General features: G+C 34.4%; 1 long non-coding RNA gene across 1 annotated transcript in view, besides 1 other annotated feature; it reads right to left on the bottom strand.

Annotated features, from left to right (window-relative positions):
• LINC01701 (long intergenic non-protein coding RNA 1701) overlaps positions 1 to 19,895 on the bottom strand; it is a 39,450-nt gene that overhangs the window by 3,602 nt on the left and 15,953 nt on the right. The window contains exon 3 of the long non-coding RNA XR_001737811.1: positions 19,554 to 19,738. This is a non-coding gene — a long non-coding RNA (long intergenic non-protein coding RNA 1701). The remainder of the gene's footprint in view (positions 1 to 19,553; positions 19,739 to 19,895) is intronic.
• Positions 351 to 551: a silencer, noted in NCBI's record as "peak549 fragment used in MPRA reporter construct". NCBI's record gives its function as "represses an SCP1 promoter by STARR-seq MPRAs in K562 erythroleukemia cells {active_cell/tissue: K562}" and the evidence as "EXISTENCE:reporter gene assay evidence [ECO:0000049][PMID:32103011]".

The following is a 19,895-nucleotide window of genomic DNA, read 5'->3' as shown; positions in this document are numbered from 1 at the left end:
TCTTCCTTATTTCATGTTATTTCAGTAATATCCAGAGCCAATGTGACATTATTCAATTAAAGTACATTTGAGCACTAGTAAAAATAGTTATTATAATTATTGTCTCTAATACTGTAATGCAATATTTATAGTTCTATCTTTAATATCACTAAATCTTCACTTTGTCATGAATCCCTCACCTATGATTAAAAGATGTCAGTTGTGTTAACTCAGTGTAAGATACTTTAGTTCTGTGAAGCTGAGGATAATACAAATTTGAGATTACTTCCCTTTCTTTGGTGATGAAATGGAATATTTCAAGTGTGTTTTAGCTGGTGTTTTGACAGGACTTCTGGATTAGTGAGGCGAAGGGTTGGACAATTTTGTATCTCAGAACAGAATTATCAAACCAGACCAAGTTGTCAAAAACAACCATTTCAGAACTCCAGAAACTGGCCGGATATTGGCCGGGTGCAGTGGCTCAGGCCTGTAATCCCAGTACTTTCGGAGGCCGAGGGTGGCGGATCACCTGAGGTTAGTAGTTCGAGACGTGCCTGGCCAACACGGTGAAACCCTGTCTCTACTAAAAATACAAAAATTAGGCTGGCATGGTGGTGGGCACCTGTAATCCCAGCTGCTCAGGAGGGCTGAGGCAGGAGAATCGCTTGAACCCAGGAGGTGGAGGCTGCAGTGAGAAGAGATCATGCCACTGCACTCCAGTCTGGGCGACAAAATGAAACTCCATTTCAAAAAAAAAAAAAAAGGAAAAAAGAAAAGAATTCTGGAAATTGACTAAAAGAACACAACAAACTAAAAAGCATTTATTCAAGAAAAACTACTATACCTTGGGTAAGAACCATGGGAGTCATAGCATTCTTAGCAGGACCTTTCCTTACTCTCCTACACCTCACTCTGTGTGTTTAGAATTCCTGTCAGGGAAGGACAAGCTATGAAAACTGGCATCTCTGCTGCTGAGGTGTGCTTGCTTGATTTGTAGTGAAGAATGAAAATAATCTCATGGCTGAGGAATTGCCTGAAAATGTAATAATATCAGTGGCAAACAAAAGGGGAAAGGGCCATCACAGTAATTCTCCTATTGCAGTCCTGGTTGGGGAAAGTAACAACCAGGCAGACTGCGCTGAAGCTTAACAGGGAAATCTGGGAAATGAAAAAGTAAAAAGGAGCGTCTACGAGATGCTATATATCGCTGGCAGTCTGGAATGCTGCATGAACAAATAAGGCTACATAGGAGAGATTTGGGAGTGGTCTTGCAATCTAAACTTCCTCAGCTAAACTTGAAGCCGTGCACATACGCAGAGGGGATAGAGAGGGCCTGAAGGAGAGCAGAAATCAAATTAGATATGTAAACTTCCTAATTTTTTATTGTAGTTCCATCCTAAACAAGATTTATCAGCAGAGAATGGAAACTTTACTTGTTCATGGTATTTAAAGTCAACCACAAATCATGAACCGACCACTAATTTGTACTGACACTGAAGTGACCCGCAGGAAAACAAACTTAAAGTTAAAACAAGAATAATAAAAAATAATCAGTGACATTGGCATTTTTACTCTGTGAGAAAGGCACAATTCACAAATGGAATCCAGGCAAATTACTAAACAAAGAAACAAGTAAAGCAGCAATGAACACAACCCCCTTAGAGAAAAATCAGAATCCAGAGTGGCTGCACTATATAATAATAATAAACTACTAACTAACATAAGATGGTATTTGTAATTACTTCACCAACAGAAAATTATGGGGTTTTTTTTGAGAACATACGAAATATTCTCCAGGATAGACTGATAAGCAGTAAGACTGATGTAAAAACACTTAATAAGATTAAAAATCAAGCAAAGCATGTAATCAGACAGAAAGGTAGTTTATTAGATAAAGCATTTGACAAAATTTAGTTCACTTTTGTGTTTTTTTTAATGCCCAACATACCAGGATTACAAGGAAACTTTTTCATTATAATAATGAACATATATGAGAAGCCTACAGGTAATATCATATGCAATGATAAAATTCTGAAAGCTTTTATGCTAGGAAAAGGAAGAAGATAAGGATGCCTGCTTTCACCAGTTCAGTAACACAATATGGAAAGTTTCTAACACGGTATTGAAAGTTATAGTCACAGAAATTCAGAAAGAAACAAAAGTAAAAGGCAATTAAATTGGAAAGAAAAAGTAAAATGATTTCTGTTCAGAGATGGCATGATGCTGTACGAAAAAAACTCAAAGGTCCACAAAAAACCAAACTGTTAGAACAAATTTAAAAATTCAACAATGTTGCATGATACAATATTAACAAAAAAGTTGTATTTCTGTATAGTAACAATAAAAATAAAAATAAGAAAAAAGTCCATTTTATATAAAAATAAAAAGAATAAAATACCTAGAAAAAACTTAAGGAGATAAAATACTTGTACATTGAAAATTACAAAATGTTGGTGAAAGTAACTAAAGAAGACACAAGCTCAAAGACATTTGTGCTCATAGATGGAAAGACTTAATATTGTGAGCATGACCAAATGCATTCTACAGATTCAATGCAATTTCTATCAAATCCCAAGGATAATGTTTGCAGAAATAGAAACATTCTTCCTAAAGTTCATTTGGATTCTTAAGGGACCCAGGTAACCTTAACAATACTGAAAATAAATAACAAAGTTGGAGTACTCTCACTTCATGATTTCAATACTTACTACAAAGTTGTTATAGTAATCAAAACAGTGAATTACTGGCATAAAGAAAAACATATAGACCAATGAAGCTGAATAGAGAGCCCAGAAATAAAACCTCACATATATGGTCAAAGGGTTTTCAACAAAAGTGACAAGAACATTCAATAAGGAAAATAGCAATCTTCTCAGAAATGGAAAATGATATAACCACATGCAAAATAAGAAATATGAGTCTTTTCCTTATATACAGAAAACTCAAAATATTTTAAAGTTTAAGCATAAAAGTTAAAAGTATAAAAATCTTTAAAAATAGGGAAAATTATTCATGTCATTCGATTTGGCAATAATTACTTCTTGAAAGAATATCAAAAGCACAGGTAATATAAGAAAAATTAGATATATTGGACTTGATCAACATTTTTTAAAGGATACTAAAAACAGAGTGAAAAGGCAACACATGGAATGAGAGAACATATTTGCTAATCGTATATCTTATAAAGAGTTAATATTTAGAATATATAAAAAAAGCTCCTATAGGTTATCAGCAACACAAAAACCCAAACAACCTATTTTTCAAAAGGGCAAACAATTTTAGTGATCAGTTCTCCAAAACCATAGAGTATATATATGTGGACATAAACATGGAAACAGTAGACACTGCAGACTACTAGATGAGAGAAGGAGGAAGTGGGGCATGGATTGGAAAACTACCTATTGGGTACTATTCTCATTACCTGAGAATAATCCACTACCTCCATGCCATAAACCTCAGCATCACACAATATACCCATGAAAAAAAACCTGCACATGTATCCCCTGAATTTAAAATAAAAGTTGAAATTAAAACCAATCAACAAACCAAAAAAACAAACCAAAAAACCCAGAGAAAATTCCAAAAGCATATTAACCCTTTAAGATCTCAGGAAAATCAGTAATTGCAAAATTAAATTATTTAGAATTCAGTTTTGCACACAAATATAAAATCCACAAAGACTGCTAATCTTTTAGTGCAAATATTGAACATTTTCTCTCAACAAATGTTCTTACCAGGAAAAAACACAGAAAAATACATAAATGTTCAATAAGCACATGAAAAGATATTCAGTGTTATTAATCATTAAGGAAATGCAAATCAAAGCAAAATGAGATACCACTTCACAAGTGGATTGCTATTATAAGAAGAAAAACAAATGGAAAACAAATGTTGGCACTAATGTGAAGAATTTAGCAGCCTTGTGCATTGCTGGTAGGACAGTAAAATTAGGCAGCCACTGTAGAAAGTGTATGTTTCCTCGAATAATTTGTTTGCTCAAATAATTATAGAATTAGCATATGAGCCAGCAATTCAACTTCTGTGCACATACCTAAAAGTAATGAAAGCGAACACCTGAATAGATATTTGTATAAAATGTTTATAGCAGCATTATTCATAATAGCTACAAGGTGGAATCAACCTAAGTGGTCATGACAAGATGAATGGATAAATGCATGTTGTGTTGTGTGTGTATATGTACCCCCTGAATTTAAAATAAAAGTTGAAATTAAAACCAATCAACCAACCAACAAAACAAAGCCAAAAACCCAGAGAAAATTCCAAAAGCACATTAACCCTTTAGGATCTCAGGAAAATCAGTAATTGCAAAATTAAATTCTTTAGAATTCAGTTTTGCACACAAATATAAAATATTGTATACATACACACATACACACACACAGGAATATAATCCAGACTTTAAAAGGAATAAACTTCTAATACATGTTTTAACATGGATGAACCTTGAAAACATTATGCTAAGTGAAATTAGCCACAAAGAAAGAGCAAATATTGCATAATTTTACTTATCTGAGGTACATAGAAAAGGCAAATACATAGAGATAGAAAGTAGAATAGTGTTTACCAGATACTGGGAAGAGAGAGGGATGAAGATTTACTGTTTTTTGGGTGTAAATTTTCAGTTCGAAATGATAAAAATGTTCTAGAGATGGATGGTGCTAACAGCATATTCAAAAATGTTGTGAATATACATAATGCCCTGAATTGTAAATTTAAAAATGGTTACAATAGTAAATTTTACATTATGACTATTTTACCACAATTAAACAAAGTTAAAAATACTCTAGGAAAAAAATTATTCATTCCAGTGTATTTTAAACACATACTTTTCTAGTGCTCCTTCCAATTCAAGACCTAATTTCCGAGTGATGGCCATGTGTGGTAGGTTGAGGTTATACTGGAGCCCTACGGAGCCCTTCAAGGGCACCTTCCTATAATAGTCTCTTACTTGAGCCTATCAAAGGGCATGCAAGCAGGTCCTCACATTTAAATTATGCTATTATCTTTAAATAATGTTGCATATAATTTAATTTAAAATGAGTAAAGAATGTGTACGTCACACAACTTTTGCTTAAGTTCTTTTAAGCGAATGAAAAGAACTTTATTTTCATGAAGGTGCCTAAGATGACAGGAGCCCTTTCTCTTAAACATTGTAAATATTATAGCTTGTGAATAACACAATTATTTTGCATTGTGATTTTCTGTGTCAAATCTTTTATTTTGTTAGTGACAAACATTCGAAGTATATCACTATTTTTCAACCGTAAAAAATATTGCTGGACTAATTCCAGCAATATTTCTTCAATTAGAGTTCAAAGTCTGCAAATAATCTTCATTAGCTCTAGTCTTTGGCCACTGGGATTTTGACTCCATCTGCTGAGTCATCTTTCCTTTTCCTTTTCCTTTTTGTAGCATTACAGCTGAGTGGTTTTATCAGTTTGCTTCCTGCCTGTAGAATTTAGGGTATCTAGTAGCCTTCCTTCGTTTGGTACTCTCTCTGTCCCTTTCAGTCTACACTGACAGTATGTCTACTTCAATAAATTTCTCAAGAATTTTGGGGTATTGTATTAATTACATTGAATTTTATTTTATTAGACATAAGCCATATCTACATGTTTGTCTGATATAATTTATATTATATTTTTGGCTTCTGTTCAGTTGGCAGAGGGACAACACCTTTTACCTTCTCCTAGAGGTTCCCTGATTTCATTGAGAAGAACTCTGAAAAATATCCTTAATCTCTTAAAACAGAGTGTGCACTCTAACCTTTTGGTCTTTCTGAGATCTCAGCAAAAGATTATCATAGTCACACACTCAGCCTTTTCTCTATAACAAACTTTCGGCAGCAACTTTTGACTTTTGGCCCTTTGCCATCAGAAGAGTCTGAGATTTATAAAATATTATATCCTGGCTTATTTCTGCTCAAAAGTCCTCTCGATTTTCTCTCCTCTGTTGCTTTATACCATGAGCAGTAAGAAGAAACCAGCTTTGTTCAGAAATCTTTTTAGCTATATACCCAGGTTCATCACTCACAAGTTTAGCTTTCCAAATAACTGGAGAACACAATGTTACTAAGATTCTGCCACTATAAAACAAAATGATTCCTTCCTTCAGTTTCTAATAATATGTTTCTTACTTCCTTCTGAGCCATCATTGGCAATGTTCTTAATGTCCAGATTTGTGGTAATATTCTGTTCATTGTGATTTAAGCTTTCTGTTAGGCAATTTATGATTTCTTCATAATGCTCCTTTACTTTCTTCTGAGCCCTCACCAGCATGGTCTTTGATGTCTACTTTTCTACTAATAGTCTGTTTGAGGAAATCTGTGATTTTTCTAGTAGTCTCCCCAAACTTTTTTTTCAAATTTTCTTCCAGCATCCACCTACTTCCTGACTACAAAGCCATTTCCACATTTTTAGATATTCTTAAGCATAGTACCCAACTCTTGGTAACAAACTCTGTATTAGTCTTCTATTGCTGCAAATTTGCAAAACAAATTACCATATACTTAGAAGCTTAAAACCATGTATTATCTTACAGTTTTGCAGATTAGCAATCGAGGTGTTCTCCACAAGATTCTCTTCTTAGTGTCCCACAGGCTGACATTAATAAGATATGGCCAAACTGGATTCTTACTTAGAGATTCTGGATAAATATTTGCTAACAAGCTCATTCAGCTAGTTGTGAGAATTTAGTTCCTTGCTGTGGTAGGAATGCAGACTCCTTTTTCTTGCTGGCTGTGAACTGGAAAACACTCTCAGCTCCTGGCTACTTGCAGTTCTGGGCCATGCGCCTTCTCACAGGCTCTCTCACATGCTTTCTCATGCCATAGTCTGTAGCAGGATGTCTCATGTCAAATTTCCATCATGCTTCCTACCTCTGACTTTCTCTCTGTGACCCCAGAAAACTCTACTTTTAGTGTGTTCATGTAAATGTCTGGCCTATGTGAATAATCTCCGTATCTTAAGGTTAACTGATAAGCGAGCTTAAATAAAAGCACAAAATCCCTTTTGCCATACACATTATATAATTATGGTACTAACAACAGAGAATAAATATCATGGGGCCATCTTAGAATTCTACCTAAAACAGAGCCCAGAATAGGAAGATACAGAAATGGAAGCAGAAACAACTGATGACATGATGTCAACTTATTATCCAAAACTGCTGAAAGACTTCCATTCACTAATTTTTAAAGAGCTAGGAATCATGAGAAAAATAAATTTTAAAAAAGCAACAAATAGGAACATCATAGTAAAACTGATTTAAAAATAGTAAAAAGGTTAAAAAACAATTAAAAGCAACTAAATAAATGAGACAGTTTACTTCAATATGACAATGTTAAGGTTCCTTGCAATAGAGAAAAACAAAAAAGCCTGTCCTCACCCCAAATGAAATGGTATCTTAAAACTACTATAAGACACCTGACTACTTATATATCTATAAAATATCCTTAAAAAGTATAATTTCTCACATAAATTTTCCATGCAAAATGTGTGTAATAATAGCAATATATTAATAATTGTTTTTGCATTAATTAATTACTATATTTAATAATAGCAAGAATAATCTTAAGGGGTACTAGACAGTTATTTAATATTAAAATAGTACACTATTTAGGCTACAGTTCCCACAAGTGACTGACGGTGCATTACAGCCCAGATATTTGCCCTCACAAATATACCATCTATCCTGTCAGTTTCCGATGGAAAGGCTCTCTGTGAAGTGGGGCTTACATGGGAGCCTTGGAGACTGGTGGTAGTTTGGGGGTATAGCAGAAAGCAAGGATCTTTGCAGGTGATACTCATCTAGGGCCTTCTGATAGGGAAGCCACTGAAAAACCTGGGTAGGCTTTGTAGGATTCAAAGCAATGATGACTACCAAATACTGTAGAAATTCTCAAATAGTTTAACTATGTGTTTCCGTGTTCATGAAATAGTTTTTATATTGTGAATATAACCATAGCTGTAGCTCACATTATTGAAAACGTAGTATATTCCAGGTCCTGCTAAAGTACTTTATTTGCATTGTATTTTCTAATTGTCGAAAAAAGTATGAGGTATACACTCTCATACTGATTTTTACAGACTTTACTGCGTATCAGTGAAGTCTGAATCTGGAGCCCATACTCTTACTCGGTACACTGCATTATATAAGAACATTTATTAGATATTATTTGCAATTTTTGAAATGTCCTAAAATAGTAAAACTTAAATTACTTATGATTTATCGTTACTATGGACTCCATATTTATGTCCTCACAGAATTCATATGTTAAATTTTGGAGGTGGTACTTTGGCAGGTAATTAAGTCAGAGGATAGAGGCTTCATTAATGATACTAGTGACACTATAAGAAGAAACTGGACAGTTTACTTCCTCTCTCTGCTCTCTGCTGTGTGAGGCTCCAGAAGAAGATGGCAATCTGCAAATTAGTACCAGACACCTGATTTGCCAGCACCTTGATCTTATACTTCTCAGCCTCCAGAACTGTGAGAAATAGATGTTTGTTGTTCAAGCCATCTAGTCTATGATATCCTGTAATAGCAGTAGAAATTGACGAAGGCAATCCTTAATATGAGAAACCGTGCAGCTATTTGAATGTGGTAGACTTAAATGTATCCACATGCAAACACTTTTGACATACTGCTAAGTGTAAAACTAAAAGCAAGTTGCAGAGCAATATGTAATGGAAATAACTAGATATATGTATGAGAAGTAAATATGTAAATTCATAGCAAAATTTCTGGAAGGAGGCCGGGCACGGTGGCTCATGCCTGCAATCTCAGCACTTTGGAGGCCAAGACGGGTGCATTACCTGAGGTCGGGAGTTCGAGACCAGCCTGACCAACATGGAGAAACCCTGTCTCTACTAAAAATACAAAATTAGCCAGGCATGGTGGCGTATGCCTGTAATCCCAGCTACTTGGGAGGCTGAGGCAGGAGAATTGCTTGAACCCAGGAGGTGGAGGCTGTGGTGAGCTGAGATCGTGCCATTGCACTCCAGCCTGGGCAACATGAGCAAAACTCTGTCTCGAAACAACAACAACAACAATAACAAAAATTTCTGGAAGGATACATTGGTTACCTGAAGGAGGGTAGTAGGATGCTGAGTTTAGGGTACGGGGGTCAAGAGAATAGAGGAATGGAAAACTGAGTTATGTTACTCTAATACTTGGTTTGGCTTATTTATTTATTTATTTATTTATTTATTTATTTATTTATTCATTCATTTATTTTGAGACCGAGTCTTGCTCTGTCGCCCAGGCTGGAGTGCAGTGGCGCAATCTCGGCTCACTGCAAGCTCCGCCTCCCGGGTTCACGCCATTCTCCTCTAACAGCCTCCTGAGTAGCTGGGACTACAGGCGCCCGCCACCACGCCCGGATAATTTTTTGTATTTTTAATAGAGAAGGGGTTTCACTGTGTTAGCCAGGATGGTCTCGATTTCCTGACCTCGTGATCCACCCGCCTCAGCATCCCGAAGTGCTGGGATTACAGGCGTGAGCCACCGTGTCCGGCCATTTTTTTTTTTAAGAAAGGCTGTTTTCCTATTTAATGTTTTGATAAAAATAAAATGTAAGAAAAATTATTGATGATATTTTTGCTTATTGATAGAGAAAAGTATTTCATTGTTTTTAAATATAAGACAGTTATGCTTTACTTATGAAATAATAACATACATATTTCTGTTGCTTGTGGGACCTAGAGGATGAAGAGGATAAGTAGTTTTTTAATAGCATACCTGTAAGCTCACTTTTCTAGAGTGTGGGCAGGATTGCTTTAAAAAATTTATATTACATATTCTGATGCTATCTTTACATAATTTATACATAAGATAATAAAGTAAGGAATATGGATTAGAAGAACAAATAATTATACATGCATATATGTTTATAAACTTGTTTTATATAATTTATTTACATGCACAACAAATTTTTAGCTAAAACACAGGTGCAATTTCAAAACTCATACGATTAGATCATGCCAAGTTGTACGCAATTTCAATTGTTGACTGACCTGAGAACGTAATTTGATAAAGCAGAGAAAAAAAACACAAAAAAATTTCACAGATGATGAAAACGAAGTTTCAAAGAGGATGTGCAAGAGTGATGACATTGCTACTTTACATTTTTTGGAGGGATGCAAATTTAGTCTTTATAGAGCTTTAATAGAATAATATACATTTTTACTCTCATGAAAATTGGATATAGTTAAATTCTAGATCCAGAGTTTCACCATTCCTACAGTGAAATAAGAGAATATGCACATGGGCAAAAAAGAAATCATAAAGACAGCATTACTTAAAAAAATAGGTAGCAATGAAAAAAAGCAGATCAGGTAACATTTAATGCATTTAGTAATTTGGAAAGGCCTAAAAATGGCCTGAAAATTGTAACATAAGAGAAACAGACTGGCAATTAAAAATGCTGAAACTGACTATTGTACTTTCATATCTGTATCTTCAATTCTTCATATCAAAACTTCCTTTAAATGTGAAATTAAAGAAATTGGAAGTTTCTAATGTATAAAGAGAAGAGATAGTAAACAACTGAAAAAATTGTTTTTTTATTACACTGTAGCTACATTTATATTTGAAGTCAAACATCACGGTAAGGTGTTAAACTTGAAAAAGAATACCTTATGTTCTTTGCCAGTTTCACTCCCTGAAATTGTTTGTCATCAAAGTCCTCTATGTTGATGCTAAATTATCAACCTAAAATGCAAAGTGGAGGTGTGATGATAGTTTGATGGACATCTATATGACACCTAGACTGGTTATTTTCCCTCTTAATAAGCTTTGACATGTAAGTGTTCCTAAAGTTCAATGCCATACAATTTAATAAACAAAAATGTTAAATTTTTTATGATATCTTTATTTGAATCAAAAGCAAATGTATGTGTGACATTTCTATGTGTATTATGCTTTTATATTTATACAAAATATACATAGTGATATATTAACTAAGCTATTTTATACTGAAATAGAATTGCATTATATGGATTTCAAAAAGATGTAAATGACAAATATATATGAATATTAATTTCCCATTCTTTTATGAATATAATAGCATGTAATGTGCAAATTGTAGCAAACTGATTCATTCATTTCACAATCATTTATTAACATCTACCTTAAGACCTTCAGTGGGCAGATTACCTGTTATTTTAAGTAGATTACCCTGCATCATTCTTTAACTTTAAACCCCTTAAAAGGAACACCTAATGAATTTGTATGCATGTAGTAAAATTTTCATAACTCTTTCACAGAATTTTGTTTAGAAAAAGGCCAGTGATTACCAAGATGAACATATGATTTTATTTGTGAGAAAGTCAAGAATCAGAAAGTTTAAACAATTTGGTCAAAGGTTTGTTAGTTTTAGAACTTTAGAATTACCCTCCTCCTATCCTACTCCTCATATCCTACTACACAACTGTTTCTCAAACTGGGATCTGTGGACACGTAGTCTTGCAGACATACTCAGGGAATTATCCTATATTCTACTGAATCTTTTAGTCTTCATCACCCTGACTTTGTTGCATTCTAAGTGATCCATGTTTCAATAAATGGCAGTAAATGGTAATTCAAATTTCAAATTTGCTAGTTGCTCAGGCTAAAAATGGCAGTGTTATCCTTTACTCTCATCATTATTTAATACCACGCAAGCTGTTCATTGGAAAATCCTCTGGTCTATATGAGGAACCAGCAAATGTTTTCTCTAAAGGGGAATATTCTAAGTGTTATAGTCTTTGTATGCAATATAACCATTGCTATAACCACTCAACTCTACTATTACAATGTGAAAGCAGCACTAGACAATATGTAAAAGAATGGGTATAGCTGTGTTCCAATGAAATCTTATTTACAAAAATTTAGACAAAGTTATGGTTTCAACCAAGAGCTATAGTTTGCTAACTCTTTTAATGGCTTCTTAAATGTATCCTGAATGTGAAAACCTCTTCTTAACATACACATGGTTAACTCCCTCATATTTCAAAACAAACACTATGCTACTATCCCATCTGGTCTCTCTGAACCCAATACACCGGTGTAAGCCCATCAGAACATTTTTAAATGAGATTGGCTTGGATCTGTGTTCTCACCCAAATCTCATGTCAAATTGTAATTCCCAATGTTAGAGTTGGGGCCTGGAGAGAGTTGATTAGATCATGGGGACAATTTCTTATGACTGCTTTAGCACCATTCTCTTGGTGCTGTTCTTGTGATAGTGAGTGAATTCTCATGACATCTGGTTGTGTAGAAGTATGTAGCATGTCACCCCATCTTGCTGCTGCTCTTCCATGTGAGATGGCTCACTGCCCCTTTGCCTTCTGCCATGACTGTAAATTTCCTGAGGCCTCCCAGCCATGCATTCTGTACAGCATGTGGAACCATGAGCCAACTGAACCTCTTTCTTTTCTTTCTAAATAACTCTGTCTCAGGACCTTTCTTTCCTTCCTCCCTTCCTTCCTTCCCTTTCTTTCTTTTCTTTTTCCTTCCTTCCTTCCTTCCTTCCTTCCTTCCTTCCTTCCTTCCTTCCTTCCTTCCTTTTCTCTCCTTTCTTTTTTTTTTGAAACAGAGCTCGATCTTGTTGCCCAGGCTGGAGTGCAATGGTGCGATCTTGGCTCACCACAACCTCTGCCTCTCAGGTTGGAGCGATTCTCCTGCCTCAGCCTCCCGAGTAGCTGGGATTACAGGCATGCGCCACCACACTTGGCTAACTTTTTGTATTTTTAGTAGAGACCATGTTGGTCAGACTGGTCTTGAATTCCCAACCTCAGGTGATCCGCCTGCCTGGGCCTCCCAAAATGCTGGGATTATAGGCGTGAGCCACCACACCCGAGCAGTCTCAGGTGTTTCTTTATAACAATATGGGAATGGCCTAACGCATCATGTAATGACATTTTAATACAATTTTCTGAATAGGTATTACAGAATATTCTCATGATTCTCAAATCAAAAAGTAGAAAAAGGCATATGCAGTGAAATATTGATACCTATATAAGATACTTTATCTTGCAAGCTGATAACCACTGCTATTATTTTACTTCTTATGTTTCCCTCTAAAAGTCTAGATAAATAGTTCAGTGGATATTAGTTTTTTTGGCAGATTATGGCATAAAATATTGAATAATCTGCTCTTTGCCTTTTCATTTATTAATGTAGCTTATATACTTTCCATTTTGTTACATAAATAGAAAATTCACCATTTTATTATGTTGTGTTATATTTTATTTCATTGACATTTAGCTAACTAGTTTCATACTGATGGGCATTTAGGATATTTTTCATATTTTGCTATTAATGTTAATACTACACTAAATATCATTATATTTATTTATACATGGGCACAATACATGAGCAATTATAACTGTTGACACTAGCATATCTCACAATGCACCCTGGCGTTTCCACCCTTCTTCACCCTTTACCCTGACTTTTTCATTCAACATCCATAGATACAGATGTGGATATAGATATACATAGACACAAACGCAACACAAACATACAGATATAAAAACATACACATATCTTCCTACATTAGAAGGTAAGCTCTATGAAAGTATGGGCATTGCATAAATTATCCTCTGTAACCAGTAGGACATTGTATAAATTATCCTCTGTAACCAGTGCTTGGTATATAGTAGGCCATTATTAAATAATTTTTAAATACCTTTATTTAAAATTTAAATATTTCACAAACATTTTTTCTTAAAACAAATAAATTTTAAATACCTTTAAAAATAGAAGCTGAAAATTGGTAGCTTGAGTTTTGGCTTTAAAAATACTATTAATCCACTCAATATCCATTTAATGAGAGAGAAATGATACCACACCCTACTATTAGTGATACAACAACAGGATCATATTAAATATAAATTCTGCATTCTTGCCAAATGATTTAGATTAGTGAAGTATCCACCAGTGTTTGAGTAGAAATATGGGTATGAAAATTTAGCTATCATAGGGCATAACCTGTAGGCATCTTGAATTAAAAAATAAACTTTACCTATCACTGTTGGTTAATTCAATTATGTCCTTAAAATATTATTTCTGACATTAAATTAATGTTGGTAATTTGAATAATATTAATTTTATAGTGTTTATAATTTATTTTTAAATTAGCTTTGGTTGTATATCTTTATGAGCAATGGGAGTTTATACATAGGCCTATGTTTTAAATTTCTTAAACCATTATAAAATGAATAATTTAATTCAAGATAAGAAGTATGTGAGTTTACACATAGCTATATATATATGTATATATGTATATATATACATATATATATATAGTTTTTTTCCATTAAAAGAATACTATGCTGTATACTACATACATTTGAGAAATAAAGCCAAAAGTATATTTTCTTTTTATGGATGTATTTTTAGAGCATTTTTTCCACCAATACACTTTAAAACCCCATAAAAATATTAACTTGAGATTTTTTTAACTTCTTGGTGTAATCATGTAGTGCTATAAATTTTCCTCTTAATGCTGCTTTAGCTGTGTTCCAGAGATTCTAATATGTTGCTATTTCTAGTAATTTATGTAGCACCAAATAAACAATATCCTCCCCCAAAAAATGGGGAGGGGAAGAGCCAAGATGGCCTACTAGATGTAGCCAGGAAGAGCTTTGCCCACCAAGGGAGAACAGACCATCTAGTACACTGGCATTCTCCAAACACATCCATGGAGAATTAAGCAGATCCATGGAAATTAAACAACCTGCTCTTGAATTACTTCTGCATAAAAAAAATTGAGGCAGAAATCAAAATAATTATTTTAAACAAAAAAGCAAAGGCAAAACATTCTAGAATCTCTGGGACACAGCTAAAGCAGCATTAAGAGAAATGTTTATAGCACTACATAATTACATCAAGAAGTTAGAAAAATCTCAAGTTAATAACTTAATATCACACCTAGAGGAACTAGAAAAACCAAGAGCAAACCAAGCCCAAAGCTAGTAGAAGAAAATAAACCACCAAAATCAGCTGACCTGAAAGAAATTGTAGTGCAAAAATCCATAGGGAAAAATCAACAAAAATAAAAGTTGTTTTTATGAAAGAATAGATCAGATTTATAGACCACCACCAGATTAATAAAGAAAAAAAGAAGATCCAAATAAACATAATGAGAAATGACACAAGTGACATTACCACTGATGCCACAGAAATACAAAAATCCCTGAGAGGCTTTTATGAACACTCTGGACAACAACTAGAAAACCCGGAAAAAAATGATAAATTCCTGGAAACATACAACTGCTCAAGATTGGACCAGGAAGACATAAAAATACTGAGCAGACCAAGAATAAGTTCCAAAATTCAATCAGTTATAAAACACCTACCAAGAAGGAAAAGCTCTGGAACAGATGAATTCACAGTCCGAATTCTACCAGATGTATAAAGAAGAGCTGGTACCAGTCTTACTAAAATTATTTCAGAAACGTGAGAAGGAGGGACTCCTCCCTAACTCATTCTAAGAGACCAGTATCATTCAGATACCAAAAACTGAGAGAGATAAAAAGAAAAAAAGTCAGGCTACTATCCTTGATGAACATAGATGCAAAAATTCTCAACAAAATACTAGCAAATCACATCTAGTAACACATCAAAAAGTCGATACACCACATTTAGGTAAACTTTATTCCTGGGATGCAAGGTTAGTTTAACATATGGAAATCAATAAATATAATTTATCACATAAACGGAACTAAAAACAAAAGAAATCAGAGATAACAAAAACAAGTGGAATAACATTCCATGCTTATGGATAGAAATCATCAATATTTTAAAAATGGCCATACTGCCCAAAGCAACTTACAGATTTCATGCTATTCCTATCAAACTACCAACATCATTTTTCAAAGAATTAGAAAAAACTATTCTAAAGTCAAATGGAAGCAAAACAGAACCTGAATAACCCAAGCGATCCTATGCAAAAAGAACAAAGCCAGAGACATCATATTACCCTACTTCAAACTATACTGTAAGGCTACAGTAACCAACACAGCATAGTAGTGGTACAAAAACAGGCACATAGACCAATGGAACAAGTAATAAATAAATAAATAAATAAAGCCACAAACCTACCACCATCTGATCTTTGACAAAGTCAATAAAACAGGCAATGAACAAAGCACTCCCAATTCAATAAATAGTGCTGGGATAACAGGCTAGCCATATGCAGAAGATTGAAACTGGACCCATTCCTTTTACCATATGCAGAAATCAACTCGATAGATTAAATATTTAAATATAAGACATAAAACTATGAGAACCCTAGAAGAATGGCTGGGCCTAGTGCCTAGAACCCTAGAAGAATATCTGGGTGCAGTGGCTCACGCCTGTAATCCCAGCATTTTGTGAGGCAGAGGCAGGCGGATCACTTGAGGCCAGTTCAAGACCAGCCTGACCAACATGGTGAAATCCCATCTCTACTAAAAAAATACAAAATTAGCCGGGCATGTTGGCACATGCCTGTAATCCCAGCTACTTGGGAGGCTGAGGCAGGAGAATTGCTTGAAACCGGGAGGCAGAAGTTGCAGTGAGCCGAGATCACGCACCATTGCACTCCAGCCTGGGTAACAAGAGTTAGACTCTGTCTCAAAAAAAAAACAAAAAACAAAACAAAACAAAAAAAAAACCTAAAAGAAAACCTAGGAAATAACATTCTGAACATAAGCATTGGCAAATATTCCATAACGAAGACTCCAAAAACAATTGAAACAAATACAAGAAAAAAAAACAAGTGAGACCTAATTAAACTAAAGAGCTTCTGGACAGCAAAATAAATTGTCAAGAGAGTAAACAGAAAACCTACAGAATTTAAAAATATGTTTGCAAACTATGCATCTGACAAAGGCCTAATGTCCAGGTACTAAAATTACCTTAAACAAATCAAAAAGCAAAAATCAAACAACCCACTTAAAAAAAGTACAAAGGACATGAACAGACACTTTTCAAAAGAAGGCATACATGCAGCCACTAAGCATATGACAAAATGCTCAACATCACTCATCACTACAAAAATGCATATCAAGACCACAATGGATATCACCTGACACCAGTAAGAATGGCTATTAAATAGAACATAACTGATATTGGCGAGTTTGTAGAGAAGAGGAACGTTTACACACTGCTGTTGTGAATGTAAATTAGTTCAACCACTGTGGAAAGCAGTTTGGACATTTCCCCAAGAATGTAGAACAGACTCAACCCACCAATCCTACTACCGGGTATATATTCAAAGGAATATAAATCATTCTACCAAAAAGACACATGCACTCCTGTGTTCATCCCAGCACCAATTACAGTAACAGACATGGTATCAACCTAGATGCCCATCAACAGTGGACTGGATAAAGAAATATGGTATATACAAACTATGGAATACAACACAGCCATAAAAATAAGGAAATCATGTTCTTTCCAAATACATGGATGGAGCTGGAGGCCATTGTCCTAAGTGGATTAACACAGGAATAGAAAACCAAATACAGCTTCTCCCTTATAAGTGAGAAGTAAACATTAAGGACACATGAACACAAAGAGGGGAACAACAGACACCAGGGCCTACTTGAGGGTGGAGGGTGGGAATAGGCTGAGGACCAAAGAACTGCCTATCAGGTACTATACTCGCTATCTGGGTAACAAAATCATTTGTACACCAAACCCCAGTGACATGCAATCTACCCATATAACAAACCTTCACATGCACTCCCTGAACCTAAAATAAAAGTTGAAAAAAAAAAAAAATGCCAGCAACTCCCTCAATTCTGCCTGTTAAATGTCCATACAAGTCATTAATCTAAAAATATAATCAATTCATTCTCTAGTTACAGACACAAAAAAGGTATGAGTGGTTATATAATTTTAAAGTTCATGGAAACCACCTTTTAAAACTATTTAGTAAGTTATTGTATAATTTGAATAAATGAATTATACATATAAATTCCTAATAGGAAGAGAATAAATGCCATATTATTAATTCTCACTTCAAAGTTTATTTTCTGAAGTGAATAATATTGATAATAATATGTTGCTACATTGTGTTTGTGTTCACACATTTAAAGTGTAAAATAACTTGCAAAAAATAAAATGCCATAGAAACTCAAATTTCATTATTAAGGCAATTAGGTGGAATACAAAAATGGCAAGCCATTTAAATGTGTTGGACATTAATGCAAGATATACAGCTTTCACCATTGTACAATATTTAGACATTCAAGTGGTGGAACCCCATAATAGCAAATATTTATTTATTTTTTCTGATCTTTAATTTCTTCTTGACTTTCACATATTACTTGAATATTTAGAACTGTGTTAGCTTGAACAAATTCTTGAATATCTCCCTGGCTTATTTTCTTAATTTATAAAGAGGGTAATAACTTGCTTAACTAATAGAATTATTATAAAGTTTAAATCAGTTAATAAGTGCAAAGTTCTTAGCAAATTGTTTGATGCTGTGGAGAGAGGAGAACTGTCAGACCAGGGAACATGACAGAGCTTGATTTGACTCTTGAGCCTCCCAGAATTGTAAATTGAAATAAAGTTGTGATAACATTTTTCTTCCTTGGTGAAGTACTGTCATTCCACATTGTCACCTTCATTCACTAATACAAATGAAAGTTCCAGAATCACTTGTCCTACCTGTATTATATTCTGAGTGTTATTTCCTAAGGAGAATCATGACAGTATAGAGATCTGGACAATATGTAGTGGTCTCCCCTGTGACTTAGCCAAGAAAGGACAAAGGGAGGGAATGAAAACAAAGAAATTCCACACTTGCTTTAAGACATTTTTGTACCTACATAGAAATCTATAAATTCTGCTTTCCTGAAGGATATGTCTCATATTCGCCGGAAGCTGCAAGTGTGTTCAAAGATTTTTTTTTGCATTAAACTTTTCTCAATGAGTTGGTGCCCTAGGACTGCACCACTCTGGATTTTAGAATGTATTATTTCAATAATAAGCTCTAATCAAAATACTGCTTTGTTTAAATATAATTCAAGCTCCAGTTTTCTTCCTAATCCTAAATACCAAAATCTTTTCATTTTCTTTGTTCAGTGAGGAGCTGAATTTTTATATTTACAAACAGTTCTCCCTTAGTCAAGAAAAAAACTAACAAATTAAAAATAAATTCAGCATTTTGTTTTTCATATATTGGTGATTTGAGATTTCCATCAACATTATTCATGTGCAACATCTGTCTTTTGCTATTATTAGTTGATACAGAAAGAAAAAGAATGTAAATTAACAGTGGTGCAAAAGCATTATTTGTTCCACTAGATTTCTATCTCAGTTATTTTGTAGTCCCTCTTTATCCACTAGGGATATGTTCCAAGACCCCCAGTGAATGTCTGAAGCCTTGGATAGTACCTAACCCTACATATGCTATGTATTTTCCTATACATAGACACCTATGAAAAGTTTCATTTATACATTAGGCTAAGTAAGAGATGAACCATAACAAACAATAATAAATACAATTACAGCAATAAAAGCTACATGAATGTGGTCTCTGATTTCAAAATATGTTAATAGAATGTACTCACTTATTTTCTGAATGCAGTTGGCTGTGCATAACTGTAACCATGGAAAATGAAACCACCATGGACAAGGGGGCACTACTGTACTCAGTTGCTCTATTTTAGTGACAGGACATGGGTAAGGAAGCTGTTCTCCATTCCCCTAAGGTGAGAGGTACAAGCTTCTGGATACAGGTAGTAGGGCATCCCACCTGTGAACAAAAGGATTTCACACATGACAGTTCAAAGTTCCAAAGTGTCTTTGAATATCTGAATTTTGAAATAATTCGAAGATTTCCAGTAGAGTTTACCCAGGACAGACATAAGAGAATACTACTCTCAGGAAATGGGTGCAAAACATTCTTGGCT

This window comes from Homo sapiens, chromosome 1 (genome assembly GCF_000001405.40).
Source record: "Homo sapiens chromosome 1, GRCh38.p14 Primary Assembly".
NCBI classification, from domain to species: Eukaryota; Metazoa; Chordata; class Mammalia; order Primates; family Hominidae; genus Homo; species Homo sapiens.
The sequence above is the reverse complement of the archived record's forward strand: the minus strand, read 5'-3'. Positions and strand labels throughout refer to the sequence as shown.